General features: G+C 41.3%; 1 protein-coding gene, 1 long non-coding RNA gene and 1 other non-coding gene across 11 annotated transcripts in view, besides 1 other annotated feature; 2 read left to right on the top strand and 1 right to left on the bottom strand.

Moving 5' to 3' along the window:
- Positions 1-24863, top strand: part of ACMSD (aminocarboxymuconate semialdehyde decarboxylase) — a 63419-nt gene that overhangs the window by 13818 nt on the left and 24738 nt on the right. For 5 of the 9 annotated variants that reach the window (XM_011510592.3, XM_017003325.2, NM_001307983.2 and 2 more), the window contains 5 exons: positions 6828-6924; positions 10962-11198; positions 15146-15239; positions 18532-18627; positions 20036-20208. In XM_011510592.3, the coding sequence (XP_011508894.1) occupies positions 6850-6924; positions 10962-11198; positions 15146-15239; positions 18532-18627; positions 20036-20208 (675 nt within the window). In that variant the 5' untranslated portion in view covers positions 6828-6849. Of the gene's footprint in view, positions 1-6827; positions 6925-9535; positions 9586-10529; positions 10622-10961; positions 11199-15145; positions 15240-18531; positions 18628-20035; positions 20209-24863 lie in introns of those variants that run through there. The other 4 variants (XM_047443333.1, XM_005263586.5, NM_138326.3 and 1 more) reach the window with 3 other exon arrangements.
- Positions 5387-5440, top strand: MIR5590 (microRNA 5590). Its single transcript, NR_049856.1, has one exon. It is a non-coding gene; the product is annotated as a microRNA 5590 (primary transcript).
- Positions 6492-6692: a silencer, noted in NCBI's record as "peak3872 fragment used in MPRA reporter construct". NCBI's record gives its function as "represses an SCP1 promoter by STARR-seq MPRAs in K562 erythroleukemia cells {active_cell/tissue: K562}" and the evidence as "EXISTENCE:reporter gene assay evidence [ECO:0000049][PMID:32103011]".
- The window catches only part of CCNT2-AS1 (CCNT2 antisense RNA 1), a 51974-nt gene continuing 41310 nt past the window's right edge, over positions 14200-24863 (bottom strand). Inside the window, exons 3-5 of the long non-coding RNA NR_036549.1 lie at positions 23674-23705; positions 16511-16608; positions 14200-15306 (exon numbers count right to left, since the gene is read on the bottom strand). This is a non-coding gene — a long non-coding RNA (CCNT2 antisense RNA 1). The remainder of the gene's footprint in view (positions 15307-16510; positions 16609-23673; positions 23706-24863) is intronic.

Below are 24863 nucleotides of genomic sequence, written 5' to 3' on the forward strand. Positions count from 1 at the left end.
ATCGTAGGCAATATTCTGGATAGAGAATCAATGGTATTAGGAAGTGAATTGGATGGTGGCCTATCAGGCAGAGGGAAGCAAAAAAATGATGTAGTCTCCAGGCAATAAGCAAAGTAACGTAGGCTTGAAGGATAGAAGCCGCCAACCCAGAAGGAAAAGCAGGCCAGGGACCAAGAAGAAAAACAGGCTGAGCAAATCGAGTTTGGGTTGGTTGAAGTAGGGCCTCCCGGGGGAGCTGTCCTTCAGAACCTGGGAATGTGGGAGCTGCAGTGACTACAGAGGTTGCTTCCTGATGACAAGGTCTGGGCCATTTCTGCCAACTCTGCACCTCGAGCCCAACCAGCATGGCAGCTGGTGTGGTCTGGAGGGATTGCTCGAGTGGGCACTAGGGGGATGGGGAGGAGAATGGAAATCTGATGGTGAAAGACTGAGTTTAAAAATACATTTCTGGCTGGGCATGGTGCCTCACGCCTAATCCCAGCACTTTGGGAGGCTGAGGAGGGCAGATTACTTGAGGTCAGGAGTTTGAGACCAGCCTGGCCATCATGGTGAAACCCCGTCTCTACTAAAAATACAAAAATTAGCCAGGTGTGGTGGCACGCGCCTGTAATCCCAGCAACTCAGGAGGCCGAGGTGGGAGAATCACTTGAACCCAGGAGGCGGAGATTGCAGTGAGCCGAGATCGCACCACTACACTCCAGCCTGGGGAACAGAGCGAGACTCCATCTCAATCTAAAAAAAAAAAAAAAAAAAGGAAAGACAAGAAAATACATTTCTGATGATACATGCAGTATCAGATATTTGAAATACCAGCCATATTTGGGCTTGTTTGGGGATAGTATTAGAATTAGAACTTAAAAGTCAGAAGTTCACAGGTTAGGTTCCCTAGGAATCAGACTCCAAGATGAAGTTCTGGCTTTAAAAATATAAGAGGTGTATTTAAAGTGTGTTATCTGGATAGTAATAGTTGCATGGAGGAATTGTTTAAAAAAAAAAAACTTGATTTTCTTTTGAGAGTTTAGGAAAAAATGGGATTGGGCTCTGGTTGTCTAAATTAAAGCAGCTTGCTCCCATTACTTGGTTATTAGTTTAGTTTAAGATCTTGGTTAATGCTGAGGTCAGTGTTAAAAACCAGGACCCAAGAAATCCCTGTTTCCTCCTCCAGCAGCAAGTGCTGACAGACACATCCACAGCCTTGCCTGAATGTAAAGCGACAGAGATCAGGGATTGATTCCTTACAATGGCTGTCAGCTCTCAAAATTCCAGCTGGAAAAAAAAAACCAATGAGAACTGGGGGCTTATTATACGGGCACAGCTGCTCTGCAGTGATTTTTACTCAGAAAGAGTTCTACCGACTTGCTACCGTTCATTTTTCTTACCATGGATCTAGCATGAAGGATGTGAAAAAGTGAAGTTTGGTGAGTCTGCTTCTCCTGCCATGTAATGAGAGGCACTCCCAGCCCCTAAAAGATCAAACTCTTTAGGAAATTATAGTAATTAACTTTAGCCTACTACATAGACACCCATCACCAAATATTAGCCTTGTGAGATGGAAAATGGCTTCATAAACCACAGCTCTATACCAGCTAAGCATATGGCCTTGGACAAGTCACTGCACCTCATGGACTTATTGGTAAAATGCAAGGGCTGAACTAAATAATCTATTGCAGCTTTAAGATACTCTGCTTTGTTTGAAATCAAAACTTACTCAGGCATCTCCCACAGAAACCCAATTTCCTCCCTTGCAGTTGATAATACATGGTAAAATCTGGCTGTTATTTATTGAGCATGCTCTCTGGCCTGGTGCTAAGTTCTTTACATTCTATGATTGAATCTTCTTTATCACTCAGTGTTCTTAATTGCAAACAACAGAATTCACTCTAGTTAGTTTAATTAGAAAAACAGCTCCCAGAGTTCCTGTGAGGGCCAGAGATCAAGCTCTGAGGGCTGTGCTAACATGATCAATGCCCACATTCACCTGGTGAGCTGCTCCAACAAGGATGCAAGTGTTGCCACTCCCAGTCATGGACAGGATGCTCATGCTAATGCTGCCAAGGCTGGAGACTAGAAGCTTTGCCTCTGCTGCTCCAGTCATGTTCAACATCTTAGACAACACCCCTGTCTACAGGTGGACTCTGCATAGTCCCTACTTCCTCACATTGCTCACTTCCAGGTCAAAGTTATATGCACAGGTGGGTGCATATAATTGGCAAAGCCCAGAGCACATGCTAATGCCCCATTACAAGGGAGACTGGGAAAGCATATTTTGGATTCTACCTCAAGAAAGCAGAATTTATAATTGTGAACGTTACTTCACACATAGGATGTGTTCCAAGGATGTTGGATGGCCACAAGCATGACAAGTATAATGATCCACATTTTACAGACAGAAAAAGTGAGGCTTAAACTCAGAGGGCCCGTAACTTCACCAGTCAGTGCTGCTACTAAGTAATTTAATGAGATTTAAACCCAGAGCTGTCTGAATGCAAAGACTGTGCTCTTTGGCACTCTGCTATACTGGGTATTTTATAGTGATTAAGCTTTCCCAGCAAGGAGCAAAAATAAATAAATCCTCCAATTTGCCAAATCAAAGTTTGTTTCTCAACTTTTTTTTTTCACCATCACCCCTCTCCTCTCCCTTCTTCACCAAATGAAAAGACATGTGTTCCTATATCCTATTTGTGCAATCATTATCAGTCAGGACTCTTGGTTGCAGGCAACAGAAACCAACAATCATTAGTGTAAGAAGAAAAGAAATTTGTTGAAATATTTTAAGCCCCTCAAGAACTACAAAGTATCTGTGGAATCAAGCTCAGAAAACTTGCAGAAACTCAGGGAATTCCCATGATTGAAGCCACAGCCAAGGCAACACCACAGGAACAGCCTGGCAAGGAGGCTGCTGCCCCAGCTGGATACTGCCCCCAGCACCACTGCCAATAGCCACTGTACATGGCCACTGCTGGAATCACTGGCAGAATAAATTCAACTCTTCCTGTTTTTTTGCATCACGTAATGCAAAACCAAGCATTGATTGGCCAAGCTTGGGGCAGGGAGAGCAAGTATTTGGCCTTCTGCAGAAGAAGGCTAGGCCCTGCCTCCACCACGACTGCTGCAGGAGATTCCCCAACCTAGGAAGTGGTTCAGATGCTGGCATGGTCAACGGAGGATCAGAGCTGAAGCACATCAATCTTGGTGTCCTGATGTCAGAGACCCAGCTCTGCTAGTGTGTGGACACCTGTCACAATTACACAAGTCAACTTGCTCACTGACCTGTTCCCCATCCCTGAGAAATAAAATGTGGATCTGAAGTCTTCCTCATATATGTGCAAAATGAACAGGCTACAGCACTTAAAGGTGAAAAGCATCCAGACTTCTTCATGCAGGAGATGGAGTAGAAGGATGTCTTGTCTATGGAGTAGAAGGATGAAGCCTTGGATGCAATTCATGATCAAGCCAAGAGGAGGAGGAGGAGAGCAGAGGACTCCACCAAGCAGAGCTCAAAGCCTTTGATCATTGCACACCCACTTGGACATTCTATGGGGCCCAAAGGTAACCTTGAGGCCCTGAAGCACCACCAAAGGTGGTGTGCCCTCAAAGCAGAGGAACACTGTCTAGCCCCTAGTTATACAACATTAATAACAAATAACCATAATAACACTTATGTGTCAGATACTCCACTAAGCGCTTTATATGGATTATCTTATTTCATGCTGACATGATCCCTTTAATGTAAGTCACATTAATTTTTTAAGGTAAGTCATTATCATCCCTATTTTAAAGATAAACAAACTGAAGCTTGAAGATATTGTTTAACTTGCTCAAGACCACATAGTAAGTGGCAGAACAAGAATTTGAATTCAGGCAATTTTATTTCCAGGGCCTACCCTAGTTCTTCCCCTTTTCTTTAGGAATCACAAACTGGAGGCCCAACGTAGATGCCACTGCCATGTTCTGCACAACCATTTAGTTTGGTCCCCTGCTCTGAGTATTAAAAAGTTGTGTATTCCATAATGGCTGTACCAGTTACCAAATAAGAGCATACAAGGGTTCCTTTTTCTCCGCATCCTTATCAACACATTATCTTTTGTCTTTTTGATAACAGCCATCCTAACAAGTATGAGATGATATCTCATTTCTCAATGATTAGTGAAGTTGAACATTTTTTCTTATACCTATTGGCCATTTGTATATCTATTCTGAGAAATGTCTTTTCAGGTCCTTTGCCCCTTTTTTCACCCAGTTATTTGTTTTCTTGCCATTGAGTTCTTTGAGTTCCTTATATAGTTTGGATGGTAACTCCTTATCAGATATATGGTTCACAAATATTTTCTCCTGTTCCATAAACTGTCTCTCTACTCTGTTGATCGTTTCCTTTACTGTGCAAAAGGTTTTTAGTTCCTCCAGCTTTGTTCTGTTTGCTCCAAATTGCTTTGACTATTTGAGATCTTTTGTGGTTTACATGAAATGTATGGTTTTTTTTTCTATTTCTGTAAAAATGTCATTGGAATTTTGGGGGGCATTTTATTAAATCTATAGATTGTTTTAGGTAGTATGGACATTTAAACAATATCAATTTTTCAATCCACGAACATGGGATGTTTTTCCATTCGTCTGTGTCTTCTTTAATTTTTTCATCAATGTATTATAGTTTTCAGATCTTTCACCTTTTTGGTTAGATTCATTCCTAAGTATTTTTAAATACTATTTTAAATGGGATTGCCTAATGCTGGGAGCAGTGGCTTATGCCTGTAATCCCAGCACTTTGGGAGGCTGAGGCCGGTGGATCATGAGGTCAGAAGTTCAAGACCAGCCTGGCCAACATGGTGAAACCCCGTCTCTACTAAAAACACAAAAATTAGCCGGGCGTGGTGGCGCATGTCTGTAATCCCAGCTACTTGGGAGGCAAAGGCAGGAGAATTGCTTGAACCTGGGAGGCAGAGGCTGCAGTGAGCCGAGATCATACCACTGCACTCCACTCCAGTCTGGGCAACAGAACAAGACTCTATCTCGAGAAATAAATAAATAAATAATGGGATTGCCTGATATCTTTTGCAGATTGTTAACATACAGAAATGCTATGGGCTTTTATATATCAATTTTGTATTCTGCAACGTTACCCAATTTATTAGTTTAACAGTTTTTTGGTGGAATATTTAGGGTTTTCTATGTATAAAACCATGTTGTCTGCAAACAAAAACAATTTAACTTCTTTCATTCTGATTTAGGTGACTTTTGTTTCTTTTTCTTGCTTCATTGCTCTGGCTAGAACTTCCTTTATGATGTTGAGAAGTGGCAAAATGAGCCCCCTTGTCATGTTCCTGATCTTAGAGAAAAAGTTTTCAACTTTTCATCATTTTCACCATCAAGTATGATGTTAGCTGTGGGATTGCCATACATAGACTTTATTGTGTTGATCAACAATAAAGTTCATGTATGGCAATCCCACAGCTTTATTCCTTCTATACCTAATTTATTGAGGTTTTTTAAAGTCATAAAAGGATGTAGAAATTTGTCTGTATCTATTGATATGATCATATGTTTTCCTGAGAAAAAGTAAAAATAGAACTACTATATGATCCAGCAATTCTACTTCTGGCTATATATGCAGAGGAAATGAAACCAGTATGTTGAAGAAATATCTGCATTCCCATGTTCAATGTAGCATCATTCAAAATAGCCAAGATATGGAATCAATCTAAGTGTCCATCAGTGGATGAATGGATAAAGAAAATGTGGCATATATACATAATGGAATACTATTCAGCCTTTATAAAAAGGAAATTCTATCATTTACAACAACATGAATAACACTGAAGGATATTATGTTAAGTGAAATAAGCCAGACATAAAAAGACAAATACTGTACTTATATGTAGAATCTAAAAAAGTCTAACTCACAGAAGCATCAAGAAAAATGGTGGTTACCACAGGCTGAAGGGGTGGGGAGAGATTGAGAAGGTCAGAGGATATGAAATTTCAGTTAGACAGGAGGAATAAGTTCATATCTATTGCACAATATGGTGACTATAGTTAATAAAAATGTATTGTATACTTGAAAATTGCTAAAAGAATAGATTTTAAGTGTCATCACCTCAAAAAAAATAAGTATGTGAAGTAATGGACATTTTAATTAGCTTGATTTAGCCATTCCACAATGCACACATATATCAAAAGATAATGTTGTACAGCATAAATATATGCAATTTTTATTTGTCATTTAAAATGTATAAAAATTATTGCTGTGTACCCAGGCAAGCATGATGCCTGGTGGAAGAAGTAGCTCAGTACCAAATTTTGTGCTTGCTACCAGACTGACTTCTTTGCCCACCTCCTCCCACAGGTATTGACACTAGTGGGCCCTGCTCTGTTTGACAAATCATACACTGCCATTATCCATATATTGCTTCTCCATAAAATGAGAGGGTTGGACTAGGTGGTCTATCTCAAAGGTTCTTTTCAATTCTAAATGTTATAGAACTACCATTTTCCAGACGCTGGGCCATCCTCTTGTATCTAGTAGCCAGGGGTTCAGATCAGCAAGGTGATCAGCCATTCTCAGTCAGGCAGCCCAGAGAAACATAACCTCAACCTTGCTATCTCTGTGTCCAGCCATTGACGCCCACAGAGCACACCCCTTCAACTCTAGGCCAAAGAAAAGCATGAGGAAAGAAAGCTGATTTTTGTTAAATTACTGATTTCTACTTCCACAAGGATTAAGTAAAAATCTTTTCAAATATTAGGGAAGAAATACGTTCTAAAGCACATGAGGAAAGATTAGTCCAAGTGGTCTTAGGTTGCATTTTAGTAATGTGGGTTTTCTGCCCCAGGGAGAAGCAAAGTTGTTGAAAGATGGGAAAGTCTTCAGAGTGGTGCGAGAGAATTGCTGGGATCCAGAAGTTCGTATTAGAGAAATGGACCAAAAAGGTACGATGAGAAGTGCTACCAATGTTAGCATCTGATGTAAAAGCAATGTCTGCCCTTAAAGTTTGCTGACAACTTTATGTGATGGTAACTTCTGACCCCCTTTTCTCTGCCAGGACAGGCTGTTCCAGCTTCACTGTGGGAGGGACAGGGCCTTCCACTACAATGCTTTTAGAGTGTGGATTCAAAATGTTTCATATGAGTTATACCCTGTTTTAAAATAGAATGCTATATCATGAAAAAGATAAAAATGGCATTTTATTATTTTTAAAAATTAGTTCAAATGTATAGTATTTACTTATTATAAAATCAATTAAAATAGTAAAAACTGGAAATCACAAAACTAAGAATGACAATTGCCTGCTTAATAACACTTAAGATCCAATTTCTTTCTGTAGTTTGTCTCGGTGCATCATACACAGAACATTCCCACTGACACATCAGGGTTGGAAATGGAAGCAGTTAAAAATAGTTAATTGTGTAATCTCAGAATACACTACAATAAAATCAATCCAGAAATTTGAAAGAAGAGAATTAGGAAGTGTTCGTTTCAAAGCTGAATTGCTAAAAAGCTATAAGAACATCTTGCACTTTTTACCTTATATCTAAAAATCAAACAAGTCCTCACAATTTAAAAGAATTTCAGAAAAGGCACAGTAACAGTTTGGGAGGCCAAGGCAGGTGGATCACCTGAGGTCAGGAGTTTGAGACCAGCCTGGCCAACATGGCAAAACCCTATTTCTACTAAACATACAAAAATTAGCCAGGCATGCTGGCGCGTGCCTGTAATCCCAGATGCTCAGGAGACAAAGGCACAAGAATCGCTTGAACCCAGGAGGCGGAGTTTGCAGTGAGCCGACATTGCACCACCGCACTCCAGCCTGGGCAACAAAGTGAGACTCTGTCTCAAAACAAAACAAAATGAAATTTCCAAGTCTATCTAAAGTATGACATGATGGCCACATTATGCTTCACCTGTGACTGCCTGGTTGACTGTGCCACCTGAGGAGAACATGCTCCAAGAAAATGCCTGAGCCTTCCAGACACATGTGGGCTGTGTCCATGGGCTGTGATGGGGAACTGACCACCACTGACATTGTCAGAACTAAGTGTTTACATTGGTGGAAGATTTCAACCAGAAAAGAAACAATTCAAACACACAAATAAAAGAGCAGTTTAGCACTACCACCTTCCTAATCAAAGACAAATTGTAAGAAGTTCAAATATACAAAGAGATGGCAGGAGACATTTTATTCCAAGGTCTGCAAAAAAGGAATCAAACGGTCAGCCTAAAGTGAGTAGGTGGTCTCCAGCATGTTGGAATTTGTTGTAGATACCTTTGTCCAGGTTTTGCTTTATATATTTTTTAACAATTAAAAATAGAGCCAGGTGTGGTAGTTCATGCCTATAATCCCAGCATGTTAGGAGGCCACGTCAGGAGGATCCCTTGAGCCCAGGAGTTCAGGATCAGTCTGGGAAACACAGTGAGACCCTGTCTCCACAAAAAAAAAAAAAAAAAAAAAAAATTATCTAGGTGTGGTGGCATGCACCTGTGATCCCAGCTACTCAGGAGGCTGAGGTGGGAGGATCACCTGAGCCCAGGAGTTTGAGGCTGCAGTGAGCTGTGATTGCACCACTACACTCCAGCCTAGTGGTGGAGCAAGACCCTGTCTCTAAAAAAATTTTTTAATTAAAAATATATTTAAGTGGCATTTAAATTGAACTTTGCAGAAAACCTGCAGCACCTCTGTAGAGTACTCCACAGAATATAGCATATATCCCTCTGTTCTAAAAGTATATTGGAGTGGGAGGAGAGCTGGAGAAAGAACATGCTTCCCTGACCTACAGCAAAGAGCAAGGTTTTGTAGTAAATGTGAAGCTGCAGCAAGGACCTGCCTTTTCAAGGAGAAAACTAGTGAGCATGAGACTTGAATGACTGGTGTCAGAAACCACTACTTACGGCTGCACGGTAAACGAAGTGTGTGTGTCAACTTTGGTTTTTGTTGTGTGTTGCATTCCTTGGCTGTCCCTGAGAGAACAGTCATGACCAACCCTCATTGAGTATTTACTTTGTGCCAGGCACTATTCTAAGAACCTAACATGTATTAACTCATTTAATCCCTACAACAACCCTAGGAAGTAGACCCTCTTGAAGACAAAAGATTCTTGGCATCCTGGATGCTGGAGTCAAACTCAGGGTCCCATTCTGGGTATTTCAGATCATGGGACTCCTTCTAGGATCACTTAGGAGCTGAATTAAAGGGGCAGGGAAGGTGGCTGAGAGACATGCTCTGTTGTGCATAACCTAAGACAGAAAGCCTGAAAAAGTCTTGCTTAAATAAAATTTCACAGGAAGGAGGGCAGAAATAACTCTTTGGAAATGGGGTCAGTTAGTTTTCCTTGAATGATCTCATTTGTGTCCAATCTTTACTTACTTCCCTAGAATCTGGGGCTGGGGGCTGAGGGGGGTCCAGGGAGAGGACTGAGAGGGACGCAGGGAGGGAGAGCAGGAGGAGTTTAGGGTGGAGGCTTGCTGCCGCTTGGCCTTGGGAAAGGAAGGAGTGCCCAGCCTATTCTTCTCACCAGCTTTGCCCTTCTTTGTGTCCATGTCTAGGAGTAACAGTGCAAGCCCTTTCCACAGTTCCTGTCATGTTTAGCTACTGGGTGAGTGTGAAACCTCAAGCCATCTCCTTGGTGTTGAAGGTTCGTGTTGAGCTCCCAAAAAGTGAACAGATGCCTCAAGTTTGGACACCAGTACCACTAACTGCCCCCAACAACTGTCCTCCCCTTTAGCGATCAGCAGGGTCCCCTCTCAGGCCTGTCTTCTTAGCCATGTCTTTGCTCCAGTACGGTAGCCAGTAGTCACATGTTGCTATGTGACTTGCATTATAGTTTCACTGTACAGTGGTACTAGACCAGCCTTAATCTCCACCAGAACTTACCTGTCTGGTGACTCATTCCTGCAATGCCTTGCCGGGGAACTGACAAGCTAATATCTTCTGAGACGAGAATGATTTTGAGGTAGGAATAATAATCATGACCTAATATATCACCTCTCCAAGGGAAAAACACAATTCAGAAGGGTAATCCTGAAGTGGGATGCCCTTTCCCAAGTGAATAAATCTCAAGCACTAAAAGTTTCAGGCATGATTTCCAGCCTGTGGAGGAAAATTTTTGTACGTAGCCGGGAATGTGCTAGTCCCTGCTCATCCAAGCAGATACTCACTCTCGTGATTTAAGGAGCAGTGGAAATATCACCTGTTCATACATACTTCCGTGATCTGTGTTCATAAATCCAGTATTAGTGAGTGACTCAGTCTTTGCCTGTTCCTGCGATTGCATTCACTACTTAAAAGTGCCCTGAGACCTCAAAATGCCTGAATTTATCAGATTGGCTACCACTCTGATTAGACAACTGAGGCTGCAGGAGAGGACCAGATTCCTGGCAGTGGGCAGTGGGGTGACAGAGGAAAGTAAACAGTGAAGAAGGGAGCATTAGGAAAACCAACAGTAAACTTCAACTGCCTCAGCATTTTGCCAAGGACAGCCCTGAATGTCACAGCCAACAAGAAGGACAGAGAGGAGGACAGGCAGGGGCAGGACAAGTCAGTGAGCCAGCCTGGCGGCCCTCAATGGGGCATGACAAGGAGGTGCCTTGATGGTGGCCTGGGGCCCTTGGCCAGGCCCGACCTCCTGGGAGGTAGGGGGGCATTAAGATCTTTCTGCAGTTGGCAGTGGCCCATGCTCATTCCATCTCTAGTGTTGGGATACCATGCCAGTAATTGTGTTCTTCCCTTCTGATTCTGGCCTCAATTTTTCCAATGAATCAGCAATATACCTGCAGTTTTCTTTGCTTTACAAAGATTGGCTTCTCGGTTGTCTGTGGCCAGCACCTTTCCCAATCTGTGCCTCTGTTTTCTGATGTGGTAAAGCCACTGAAAATGACAAATATTATAGCCATGAGGAGGCACTGTTCAGAGTGAATGTCTAAAAGAAGTAGGTTTTCAACAATGCGGTTTTCCCTTTCCTGTCTCCACCAGGCCAAACCTGAGGACACTTTAAACCTGTGCCAGCTTTTAAACAACGACCTTGCCAGCACCGTTGTGAGCTACCCCAGGAGGTTCGTGGGTCTGGGGACGTTGCCCATGCAGGCCCCTGAGCTGGCGGTCAAGGAGATGGAGCGCTGTGTGAAAGAGCTGGGCTTTCCCGGGGTCCAAATTGGCACCCACGTCAACGAGTGGGACCTGAACGCGCAGGAGCTCTTTCCTGTCTATGCGGTGAGTAGCGGGGCTGCTCAGCCAACGCCAGCCGCCCAGTGCCTGGGCCGGGGGCACCGCTGGGTGCTGGCAGGGAGGAGGTGAAGCGTCACCCCACTGGGAGGGGAGAGCGGTGTCCACGACTTGTTTGATGTAGGTAGAAGGTGTGGAAATAGCCCCCGCAAAGGAGTGGGCCATTCCAAAGAGGAACTGGTGGAAGGGTTCCTAGGCCAGCACTGAGTTAACAGTGAAATCTCTTTTCTTTCCATCCCCCTTGCCCTCCTTTTAATCTTTCACTTGGAAGACAAAATACCCTCTTTACAGCCACTGTGCAAAAGAATCGTGTTAATGACATACAAATATATATATATATTTTGGCCAGGTGCAGCAGCTCACACCTGTAATCCCAGCACTTCGGGAGGCCCAGGTGGGCGGATCACTTGAGGCCAGAAGTTCGAGGCCAGCCTGACCAACATAGCAAAACCCCATCTCTACTAAAAATACAAAAAAATTAGCCAGGCGTAGTGCCACACCCCTGTAATCCCAGCTACTTGGGAGGCTGAGGCATGAGAGTATCTTCAACCCAGGAGACAGGTTGCAGTGAGCCAAGACTGTGCCACTGCACTCTAGTCTGGGTAAGAGAGCAAGACTCCATCTCAAAAAAAAAAAAAAATCTGCTTTGGAAAAAAAATACTAAACATTTTTCAAAATTATGAAATAATTTGGAAGAAATTATCGAAAATACAGAAAAGTATAAAGATGATAACAAACATTACCCATAATCCAGCCTCCCAAAGATGAGTAGCCACTGTTACCATACATAGTTACTTTCTTGATATACATATATCTATATTTTAATGAACCTGAAATTCTGTTACACATGTGATTTTGTATGCTAATTAAAAATTTCCAACATAAGTGAAAATTCTTTTAATGCACGATTTTTAAATAACTGCAGAATATTCCAATATATGGCTATGCTTTGATTTATTTAACCAATCTGTAATTAAGATATTTTTAAGTCATATATTTTGGAAATGTACTTTAAAATACCTAATAAAAAATAATACCATGAAAATGTTAACATTTGATGAAACTAGGTGGTGGGTATAGGGATGCTCATTGTGTTATTGTTTATACTTTCTATACTTAAAATATCTCATGGTAAAATGTATGTTCAAAAATTCAGTGCCATTCATTTCTGAAATATCCAACTTCAAGTGTCCATAGTTCCACAGTCATCTCCATCAGTCTTCTTCTTCCTCCTCCACTTTCAACTCTTTCTATAACCAAACCTTCTCATCTCAGTACCAGGATTCATGATGCATAATTCTTTACTCAATTGCATTTTTTAATTTTTTATTTCCCTCCTAGAATTATAATAATATTGCTTTCTATTATTTTCATTATAAATGCAAAATCTTTAATAATGACTTAAATAGATGTTTGTGGACTCACCAGGCACTGTGACTACTGATCATTTACTCATTTAGTATTTACTGAGGTCTAACTACAGGCAAAAAATTTTCCATGTTTGTATCTATGGCGACTGCCCACCAGTCAGGAGATTGCCTGTTAAATTGCCTTCTAATGACTTGAAAGATTTAATGTTCCTCAATATACTGAACTCCCTGAAGCTTACTGGCTGCAGTGGTTTAGCTGATGCAGTGAATGTTTTCTAGAAACTTTAATGAGCTTTGAAAGAGGATTTATTTACTTATGCATCCAAGTTGTTTCAGCACAGTGTGATCGAGACTTCAGCTGCAAGTCATTTTAGCATTCATTGGATTTGGGTTTATGAATTACTAAGGGACTTAGGAAGCAACAGCAGCCGGTTGAGGTCCACATGGATATTTTCATTTGTGTGACTAGCTCGACCCATCAATCCTTCTAACTGGGCTGTTTTGAGGACATCCAGTCTCTGAAGGGATTCAGGAGCACATCCTGTCCCCAGGTGACTTATGATGTCCTGGGGGTGGCAGCATATTTGTTTGGTTAGCAAGGTTTGCCTGCCTCTCTGCTCTCTAGTTTGCGTCAATAATGTGCTGAAATGAATTATCATGAGCCAGGTTGGCTTTGTCATCTCAAGGTGATCCTGGTACTCCAAAGGTCTAACTGTCCCCTTTATCTCCTAGACCTCCCTTTTTAGTGAGTAAACCCAATCATACATGCTCAGGTCAGTTTTCAGTTGCAAAAACAACTTCGTTATTGGTATAAGGCAGACTGAATGGTAGTGCCAACTGCCCAGCTCCACCATCTATCAGCCACAAGGCCTAAGTAAGTTAGCTTCTATCTGCCTTAGTTTTCTTCTCCATAAAATGAGGGTAGTAAAAGTGCGCATCTCACAAAAAATTAAACTAGTTAATAATTATAAAATTCTTATAACAGCTTGGGCACATAATAAGTTCTCAGTCAATGTTAATTATAATTGTGAGAGTATAACTTCTTTTTCTATTCTCTACAAACCCCACATATAGAAGGAGATCAACAATATGTTAATTTGAACTGAACAGAAATGAGGGTGGGAGGAGGGTGAGGATCAAAAATCTACCTATTGGGTACAATGGTTATTACCTGGGTGATAAAATAATCTGTATGCCAAGCCCCTGTGACATGCAATTTACCTATATAACCAACCTGCACATGTACCCTTAACATAAAAGTTAACAAAAAAATAAAAAGGAAAAATTTTAAAAAGAAAAGAACCACCAGAGGCACATAGAATAAACTTGTATCCAAATGAGGAGTCAAATCCCACTGAGATACCATGACCATGCACCTTTGCCAAACCCAAACCATCCCAAGAGGTCAATATTTTCTTTCCAACAGGCACCTATTATCAGAAACCAATTAGCTTCTCTCTCTTTAAAAGGCTTATATCTCTTCTGCTACCCAAGACCTGTTGAATTAAAAGTCCTTTCTTCAACTTACCCTTTTCCTGACACTTCCAGAATCCCTTGTTGTCCCAGAATTGCTTTTCCATTTTAAAAATGCTTATGTACACAAGTCACATTGCATCAGCCTGGTTAGCACAAACATTTATGTATGAGGGTAGGATGAATCACTCCAGAACCTCAATATATGTGGTGAGGAATTATTCTAAGGGAAATCTCTTTTGAATCTTGACGAGCACTAATATTCAATGCCTGTTGAGGAGACTTCTTTTAATTAAACTTTTTGTTGCATAAAGGTCATTCCATCCAGATGGTATTTCCATTTCTCAGAAGGCCCTGGAGCATGCCTATGACATTCATGTCAGTGCCTGTCTGGCTAAGGCACTGACCTCTTCCATTTCTGAGGTCATCTCACTCACAGCCAACTGTTCAGAGACTCATCTGGGCTTCTGGGGATGGGTGAATGCCTGTAGACCCCAGGGATTCCACCCAGTGCTGGGCTCTGAGTAACCAGGTGGCTTGGGTCAGGCCAGCCAGCCCCAGCCCAGCACTGAGCCTCTGGCTCCAGCACATCACTTCTTCACTTTCCACAAACTCTGGTTTCCAAGTGGGGAAAAGGAGGGGGCACTCTCGCCCTGACTCCAAGGATACAATCTCAGCAGTCCTTCCAAAAGTGTAGACCAAGTAGGAGCCAGAAGGAGCCAAATGTAGGGGAAATTTTCCCCTACATTTCAGCTGTGGGATTAGTCCTTGAGCATTTTGCTGTCAGCCAAAACATTTGAATGATGGATATTTCCTGACGCTTGTTTTACCAGATGATATATTAAGTTCATCAACCTCAATGGTAAATCTACCAACCCCCTTTGTTAATTCCAAGTGTCCCTTTTATTTTCTAAGCAGGAGAAGTTTGTCAATATCTCTTCTATATAGATCATAAAACAACTTAAAAAGCATTTTAGTTTATTTGTGCAGACCAATATAGACTCAGAGAAAAGCAGTTTCCCCAAAACAGTACCTGGTATCTGCTCACTCATCAAAGTAACCCTCTCTCTCTCTCTCATTGCTTCTTTGAAGGCAGCCGAAAGGCTGAAGTGTTCCCTGTTCGTGCATCCCTGGGACATGCAGATGGATGGACGAATGGCCAAATACTGGCTCCCTTGGCTTGTAGGTTTGTGTCTGTGTGGGGTCTGGAACAGAGGACCAACTCTTGGGTTTTTCCAATCATCTATGGAAACCTATTATGTCAAATAGGGAAAGTATGAATAATTAACAGGATTATGAGTAATAGCAGCTATCACTTACTGAGCTCTTACTTGGATTAATGCTATATATATATATATAACCTCATTTAATTTTAAACATATCCAATACCATCATAAATAAATCATATATTTAATCTATGAGTTTGACATTATAATGATCATTTTACAGATGGAGAAACTGAGGCTTGGAATTTTTAGGTAAGGTGTCCAGGTCACACAGTTAATACATGAAAATGTAATTTACACAGATATATCTGACTCCAAAGCCAGTCTTGCTACACAGACTCCCAAAGAGGCTTCAAAAAATGTAACCATACCTGTCTAGTAAATTTTTTAGACGATGATAATAGCATCAGCTCATACAAATGAGAACCCTAGAATTAAAGGTAGAAGGTCAACTTCCACCACCCAAAGATCTGAAATCTTATATAAAAGATGACCCAGGCTTGCAATTTGCCTGTTATCTGCTCCTCTCTTCTGCCCTTTGCCTCCTGCACTATCCATAGTTCCACGAAAGGGTAGAGGAGAAAGCTCCATTTGCTCTATCCAATCTCTCATCATCAGTTGTGGTAAGAAGAGATAGAGAACAGATGTAAAATTCTGGAGCTATAGGTGAAAAATACAGCTCATCTACAAACCCAATGAAAACTTGGTCCCCAAATGAAAAGTGCTGGATATTTTTTTCTTTTTTTTTTTTTTTTTTTGAGACAAGGTCTCACTCTGTCGCCCAGACTGGAGTACAGTGGTGCAATCTCAGCTCACTGAAAACTCCACCTCCCAGGTTCAAACAATTCTCCTGCCTCAGCCTCCCAAATAGCTGGGATTACAGGGGTACAATGCCACGTCCAGCTAATCTTTGTATTTTCAGTAGAAACAGGGTTTCACCATGTTGGCCAGGCTGCTCTCAAATTCTTGGCCTCAAGTGATCCACCCACCTCAGCCTCCCAAAGTGCTGGGATTACAGGTGTGAGCCACTGCACCCGGCCTGGATTTTCTTTAAGGGGACCATTGTTCTTTCTCTCCTCAGCCCAACTAGTACAATTAGTAATTATTAAGTAATCGAAATGGCAATCACCATGAAGAATTAAATGGGGCAATATATTGGAAGTCAAAAACCGGGATTTTAGTTTCAATTTAGTCTCTATTTCACTGTATTGCCTGTAGTAAATCACTTTACCTCCATGGGCCGTGGTCCCTCATCCGTAAAATGAGAATGCTGGTCCAGATTTCTCCAAAGGCCTCTTTCTGCTCATGTTTTATATATTCCTGTGATTGCTGTTGGAAACCAAAGTATTTAGTAAGGAGGCTTCCTACTCATCCCCTACCAAATTCTTGGGCAATAATTAATAGGATGAGATAACCCAAGATGCCCAGTGCCATCAAGCTTCAAAGAAAAATGTCACCCTTATTCACAAAACTCTGATAAGTCCCACAAGCTCATTTATTTATTTATTTATTTATTTAGAGACCGAGTCTCACTCTGTTGCCCAGGCTGGAGTGCAGTGGTGTGATCTCACCTCACTGCAACCTCTGCCTCCCGGGTTCAAGTGATTCTCCTGCCTCAGCCTCCCAAGTAGCTGGGATTACAAGTGCACGCCACCACGCACAGCTAATTTTTATATTTTTAGTAGAGACAGGGTTTCACCATGTTGGCCAGGCTGTTCTCAAACTCCTGACCTCAAGTGATCTGCCCACCTTGGCCTCCCAAAGTGCTGGGATTACAGGAGTGAACCACCGCACCCAGCCCACAAACTTATTTATATTGCAACAGGAGAGCATCTGCATATAGAGTCATTTCATCATCCATTTATGCAACACAAATACATTGATTCCTTCTAGCATGCCAGGCCCTGTCCGAGGCACTGAGGATATAGACACAAACAAAACCTCTGCCTTCATGGAGCTTATATTCTGGTTAGAGGAAAGAGATTATAAACAAGTATATATATATATATATATATCACAAGAAAACAGGCTAATTTTGGAATTTTATTCTGGATGCAAAGGTGGTCATTAGTGGATTGGAGGATTCCCAGCAGAGAAGTGTCATGATCCAATTCACATTATGAACGTAACTCTGACTGCTATATGGAGAATGGATTGTGGGGTTATGGTTCAAGTAATTATGGGAAAGTAGAGTCACAGAACTAGAAGAAAGTGATGCCATCCATCTCTCTGCCTTCAGGAAGCTCTACCCACAAACTGCTTCCAGATGGGTACAAATCCATCATGCTTCCAGAATTCCCAGGCAGCTGGGTGCCAGGGGCGTCTCTGCCTGTGAAGCAGTGACCAGCCCCGGGCAGAATGAGCATCCTGTGAAGCCTAGCTCCGCAGCCTACAGAGTCAGGCTTCCCCAGAAGGTGCAGGGCACAGCTGTGGAGCGGTCAGATTTCTGAGTCATGGTCTGAAAAGCAGTCAATGGCAATGTAGCTTGGACTGGCTCCTCAGGGATGAAGGCATTAGACATGGACCAGCTGCTTCTCCTAGGAGCACAAAGCACTTGAAATAATTCATTTTAATCCAGTTATTTTCAATCTCAGCTACCAGAGGCAGCAAAGATTTTGCAGGAATGACCATAATGATAGTTAATATTTAGTGAGCCCTTACTAAATGCCAGGTGCTGTCTGCCAATCCTCAAAACAACTCACTGGCAGGAACTCACCATTTTACAGATGAGGAAATTGAGAGAGAGACAGCTAATATTTTTGTTGAGCACCTCCATTGTGAAGTTCTGTCCGGGAACTTGGCCGACATCATTATTTGCAAGGCTCCACAACAGTCTTGCAAAATGGGCAACACAGACGTCATCTTACAGATGAAATGTGGGCTCAGAGCCATTAGATAACTTGCCAGAGGCCAGGAGGCAGAAAACTGGAGGAGCTAGGGTCCAGCTTGGACTTGGCACACTCCATCTGTCCCACTGCATCCCAAACTGAAGTCGGGGGAATTAGGGCAAAAACCAAGTCCTCTGGCTCCTCAATCTCTCTAGCCATTAGATGACTCTCCCTTCAAGTGGCAAGTAGGAAGTTTCACGTGGTTCTCCTTGCCAAAGTAATGTCCTATATAATACAGCCAAACTATGCCAGGGTACAAGGGCCTCAAGTTTCTTTGCACTGACAATTCCCCAGCCACTAACATCACTGAATTCTTCTTGGTGGGGTGATCATCCCTGAACCTTGTGACTATTTCCTCTTTCAGGAATGCCAGCAGAGACCACCATAGCCATTTGCTCCATGATCATGGGTGGAGTATTTGAGAAGTTTCCCAAACTGAAAGTGTGTTTCGCACATGGTGGTAAGACCCTATCTTTATTAGTCAGCTCAGGCTGTCACAACAAAATCCCACAGATGGGGTGACTGTAAGAAAACAGAAATTTATTTTCTCACAGTCCTGGAGGCTAGAAGTCCAAGATCAAGGTGCTGGCAGGGTTGGTTTCTAGTGAGGGCTCTCTTCCTAGCTTGCACATGGCCACCTTCCTCACATGGCCTTTGGTTTCTCCTCCTTTTCTTACAAGGACATCAGTACACCAGTCCTGTTGGATTAAGGCCCCACCTTATGACCTCATGTAACCTTAATTATCTCCTTAAAGGTCCTTTCTCCAAGCACAGTCACATTTGGCATTAGGGCTTCAGCATATGAGTTTTGAAGGAATTCAGTTCGTAACATCCTTCCAGCCATCATTCTAGTCACATGATGGTTTAGGAACCAAATTCTACTTTTGTAGGCAAGTTTAGTTTTGTCATTGTTTTTTTTTTTTCTGTTTTTTTTATTTAAATCCCTCTAGTTAGATCATGAGCTCTCCAGTCTACAATAGTCCCCACTATTCTTCATTGTTTACAAATAGGCCTATTTCATTCTTTTACATTGTCTGCCTGGTCCCCATAGGTAGTTGAATTTGTGACCCTTCAACAGACAGACACACACACACACACACACACACACACACAATCAAACTACACATGTTACTCGCTAACATGCCTTTCCTCCTCAACAGCATAGAGAAGACATCTTTCCAGGTCAACAAATACAGAGCTTCATCATTTTTTATGGTGTCATGTATGGCCTTATATTTCATGGATATGCCATCATGACTCAGATAGCCCCCGACTGATAGGTTGTCTCAATATTTTGCTATTATAATCACACTATATTTGAAAACTTTGATTACATATCTTTACACACTTGCCTTCACTCTTTTTTTTTTTTTTGAGACAGAGTCTCACCCTGTCACACAGGCTGGAGTGCAGTGGTGCAATCTCGGCTCACTGCACCCTCCACCTCCCAGGTTCAAGCGATTCTCCTGTCTCAGCCTCCTGAGTAGCCATGGCTACAGGAATGTGCCACCACACCCAACTAATTTTTTTGTATTTTTAGTAGAGGTGGGGTTTCACTGTGTTAGCCAGGATGGTCTCGATCTCCAGACCTCATGATCTGCCATCCTTGGCCTCCCAAAGTGCTAGGATTATAGGTGTGAGCCATTGTGCCTGGCCTGTCTTCTCTCTTTAAGATGAATTTCTCAAATCTGAATTTCTAGATGAGTTAATGCCATTTCTTCCATCATCTCCCAGCATTCAGAACACAATAGGTCCTCTGTAATTACTGTTAATCAGCTGGCCTACAGTAACTTCTTGCATATAACATCAAGACTAAAGGAATCCTTTACAATCAACACTAGCCCCTCAGTAATGGGTTTTACTTGCAGGTGGTGCCTTCCCCTTCACAGTGGGAAGAATCTCCCATGGATTCAGCATGCGCCCAGATCTGTGTGCCCAGGACAACCCCATGAACCCGAAGAAATACCTTGGTTCCTTTTACACAGATGCTTTGGTTCATGATCCTCTGTCCCTCAAGCTGTTAACAGATGTCATAGGAAAGGTAAGCCCAGTCTGCCACTTGGATGGCTTATGGGGAGCAGAATGCTGCATCAGCAACCCATTCTCTCTCCTTTGGCCTCTCTCCAAAAAAGGGATGGAAGAAAGGTATTAGATGAAAGGAGAGAGACAGTGAGGTTTGGGATTAGGTTTGCTCACACAGGGGATTCTCTCCAGGGTCTCCCTCCACACAGAGTACATAACACTAAGAAACTATTATATATGCCAGAGAAATCCCAGATCATCTACATGGCTGGGTATTCCCCCAGATCAGCTCCTCTTCCTTAGCGACATCCCTATATGCACCCAAAATGACACATGGCAATGTAGTAAGCAGGAAAGGGGCACAAGTTTCAAAGTCAAATTGACCTGGGTTAAAATCCTGGCTCTACCTTTCACTAGTTGGGTAAATTGTGAATACAACTGTCCTCATCCACTACATGGAGAAAACTGGAACATTGAAAGTGTGGAAAATGCATAGTTGGGAAATTGCGCTGGACAGGGAGTCAGGGGAAGATGATGAAGGGTCTTGTGTATCATGCCCTGAGATTTCTTCCTGGAATAATATGGCTTTTGATTCTCTCATTTAATTAAAACACCAGCATAGTGGTACTTTAAAGCGCACAAGAAAAAGTCTTTCCTCTGATGTAGTCTCCTCGCCAATCTCTCTGTTGGTGGCACACCCACCCTTTAAGTATTCTTTAAAAATGCTAACTCAGCAAGTTCAAGAATTTCTAGGGAAAAGGCCATAGTGAAAAGTCTAAAATATTTTGTATTTCAATTCCATCTTATTAACAGATATCTATAGAAGATTTCCACATTTTCCCAAGGGAAAAATCTTTGGGGTTAAAAGTATATAGACATATTTAAAAATTTGCAATATGGTACTTGAGTTTAGACTCTAAGGTTTAAAAAAATCATGTCGAGCAAAAAGAGGCCCATCATTTGAAAGTTGCAAGTAGTGGTTTATCTCCAGAATGGACACTTTATCTCATATTAATGCTGACTGTTTCTCTGGCTTGAGAAAATAACCAGAATATAAATATTAAGCATTTTAGCTTGGTAATCAATTATGTGGTTGAGCTGTGCCTCTGAGTTGTTTAGCTTTTGTGTCACCCCTGCAAACATGGATGGTTAGCAATTGGTTGTGACTGTTGATTGTTTTTGGTTTGGATGGAGAGTGATGAGAAGGCATGTAAGCAGAAGACTTCACAGGGCAGAAACTGAAAGAGACTTTGTGGGCTCTGGACATTGAGCAATGGAGGAAAGGAAGAGGGAAAATCATGTGGAATTGGGGGAAGGGCTGTTCTTATTACATCCCATCAAGCCTAGTACCTCCTTACTAGTATTCTTGGAAATTGAAAACACCAGGAGAAAACACCATTGCCAAATCCAAAGCCCATTTTCTAAGGGATACTATCAGCACCTTCAGCGAGCACCCAGTGCAATACACATTGGCCAGGGGACAGGAGCAGAAGAGGAAAAATATGGCAAATGCTTCATGTTAACCAGTGGATGGACTAGTTGGTGAGCACGTGTGAATATATTCCTATTAGGGACCTCCAGAAAAACTCAGCAGGTACTTTACAAACTTCTTGATGCTGAGATCTTACATTCAAACTGTGAAAGCTTGAGCTATAATAATTTGGGCATCAAAAGCAAATGTGACCTTATTTTATGTGATCTCACAGGCAGGTGAATCCAGGACATAGAAGCGGTATATATTAATAATTTAGGATTCTTTTTAAAATATTAATACTTCTTCATTCTAGTCATATTCACATTAGCAAATTCGCTTTTAAAAACAATCCCCATATCAGAATGGCTAAGGAAAGTCCTAGCTAGACATCTGGGCTAGAGAGCAACCTGGCCAGATTTGAGCAAGAGGACAAAATGCCGTGGAGGGAGGTCTCTAGAAAGAAAATAATGGAACTGATGAATTATTTGATCTGTCTGAGAGTTGGAAACAATTATTGCCAGACATTTAACAGATCTGTTGATGCATTAGGAACAAATGCAGGATATACATAGAAAATTAAGCTAATGAAAGAAAAGGAAATAATCAACTCCAAGAAAACAAAAAATCTACATGAGGGCAGATAATCACTGTATATTACTTGACTCAGCAGTGAGCAATATTTGTAGTCATAATAGGGTAAATATTAGTACTGGTTTAAATGAAAATCATAATTCTATTAAGAAAATAGAGTAAGAAAGAAATTCTCAATGATCATAATGGGAAATCAGTAAATACTCTCTAAAGTTAGTAAACTAAGAAACAATAGTATAAGCTTATTATCTGGGAATATAAAGGTAATTATCAAACGATGCATGCTAAAATGGTAAAAGTGGCTGCCTTAGGGGATAACAGTTGGGAAAGTGAGTCAGGGTTTCACTCTGTTACCCAGGCTGGAGCGCAGTGGCGTGATCACAGCTCACTGCAACCTCCACCTCCCAGGCTCAAGCCATCCTCCCACCTCAGCCTCCCAAGTAGCTAGGACTACAGGTACACACCACCACACCCAACTCTTTTTTTTATTTTTTGTAGAGACAGGGTTTTGCCATGTTGCCCAGCAGGTCCTGGACTTCAGCAATCTGCCTGCCTCAACCTCCCAAAGTGCTGGGATTACAGGCATGAGTCACCATAACTGACCCAAAAAGTGTTTTTAAAAAAGAGCTGCTTTTGATAATAAAGATATTTTAGTAATATTTGATTGTTTATGTATAAACTTTACTTTGATAAATATAAATTTTAAATAACATCTTAAGAATACACAGATACATGTCATATATAAAAAACCAAAACCATTATTGAGCACCTGCTATTTCTAAAACCCTGTGCTATTTGGTCAGAAAGTATTTAAATGGCATAATCTCTTGGTTGCATAATCTCTTGGCTTCCTTCCACCTCTAAAATTCTTTTGCTTTTAAATTCTTTGCTTTGATTTTTAAAGACGGATACAAAGAATGCAGGTTATAGATTATCAGTCTAACACTGTGAGAAATACAAAAAAATGGAAAACTATATTGCCTCCCTATATTAACATGATCACAGAAAATACACTTCACTATTTAAGTGGATAGATTTTTGAGAGGTCGGTCATACGCTCATTATGAGTATATCATAATTCTGGCTAGATCCATTGGTAACCTACCGCTGCATAATTACAGTCATGCATCACTTAACAGTGGAGATATGTTCTGAGAAATGCATCATTAGGCAATGTTGTGGTTGTGCGAACATCACAGTGCCCTTACACAAACTTTTATGGTACAGCCTACTACACACCTAAACTATATGGTATATAGCCTGATGCTCCTAGGCTACAAACCTGTACATGTTACTGTACTGAATACTGTAGGCAGTTGTAACCCAATGATACATATTTGTGTAGCGAAACATATCTAAACATAAAAAGGGTACAGTAAAAATAAGATGTAAAAGATGAAAAATGTATAGGGCACTTACCATGAATGGAGCTTGCAGGACTGGAAGTTGCTCTGGGTGAGTCAGTAAGTGAATAGTGAGTGAATGTGAAGGCCTAAGATACTGCTTTATATTACTGTAGATTTCATAAACACCCTACACTTAAGCTACACTAAATTTTTTAAAAATTTTCTTTCTTCAATAATAAATTAAATTTAGCTTACTGTAACTTTTTTACTTTTTAAAATTTTTTAAACTTTTTGACTCTTAATAACACTTAGCTTAAAATAAGAACACACTATACAGCTGTACAGAAATATTTTCTCTTTATATCCTGATAATCTCTCTTATATTAAAGAGAATTTTTTTTTGCTTTTTAAACCTTTTTGTTAAAAACTAAGACTCAAGTATACACATTAGCCTAGGCCTACACAGGGTAAGGATCATCGTCACTGTCTTTCACCTCCACATCTTGTCCCACTGGAAGGTCTTCGGGGTCAATAACACAGCTGGAGCTGTCATCTCCTACGACAATGCCTTCTTCTGGAATACCTCTTACAGGACTTGCCTCAGGCTGTTTTACAGTTAATTTTTTTTAATAAGTAGAAGGAACACACTCCAAAATAATGATAAAAAGGATAACATAGTAAATACATAAGCCAGTGACATCGTCATTTATATCATTACCAAGTCTTACATACTGTACATCATTATCTGTGCTATACTTTTTTTTCTTTAAGACAGTCTCACTCTATCACTCAGGCTGGAATGCAGTGGCATGATCTCAGCTCACTGCAGCCTCCACCTCCTGGGTTCAAGCGATTCTTGTGTTTCAACCTCCCAAGTAGCTGGGATTACAGGAATGCACCACCACACCCAGTGTATTTTTAGTAGAGATGGGTTTCACGATGTTAGCCAGGCTGGTCTCAAACTCCTGACTTCAGGTGATCCACCCACCTTGGCCTCCCTAAGTGCTGTGATTACAGGCATGAGCCACTGCGCCCAGTCTATCTGTGCTGTACTTTTAATAAGACTGGAAGAGATAGGTTTGTTTACACCAGCATCACCACAAACACTTGAGTAATGCATTGCACATAATAATAGTAGTAATAATGCATCACATTATGATGGCTATAATATCACTAAGCAATAGAAACTTTTCAGCTCCATTATAATTTTATGGGACCACCATCACATACACAGTCTGTCATTGACCAAAACATCATTATGTG

The sequence above is a fragment of the Homo sapiens genome, chromosome 2 (genome assembly GCF_000001405.40).
Source record: "Homo sapiens chromosome 2, GRCh38.p14 Primary Assembly".
NCBI lineage: Eukaryota > Metazoa > Chordata > Mammalia > Primates > Hominidae > Homo > Homo sapiens.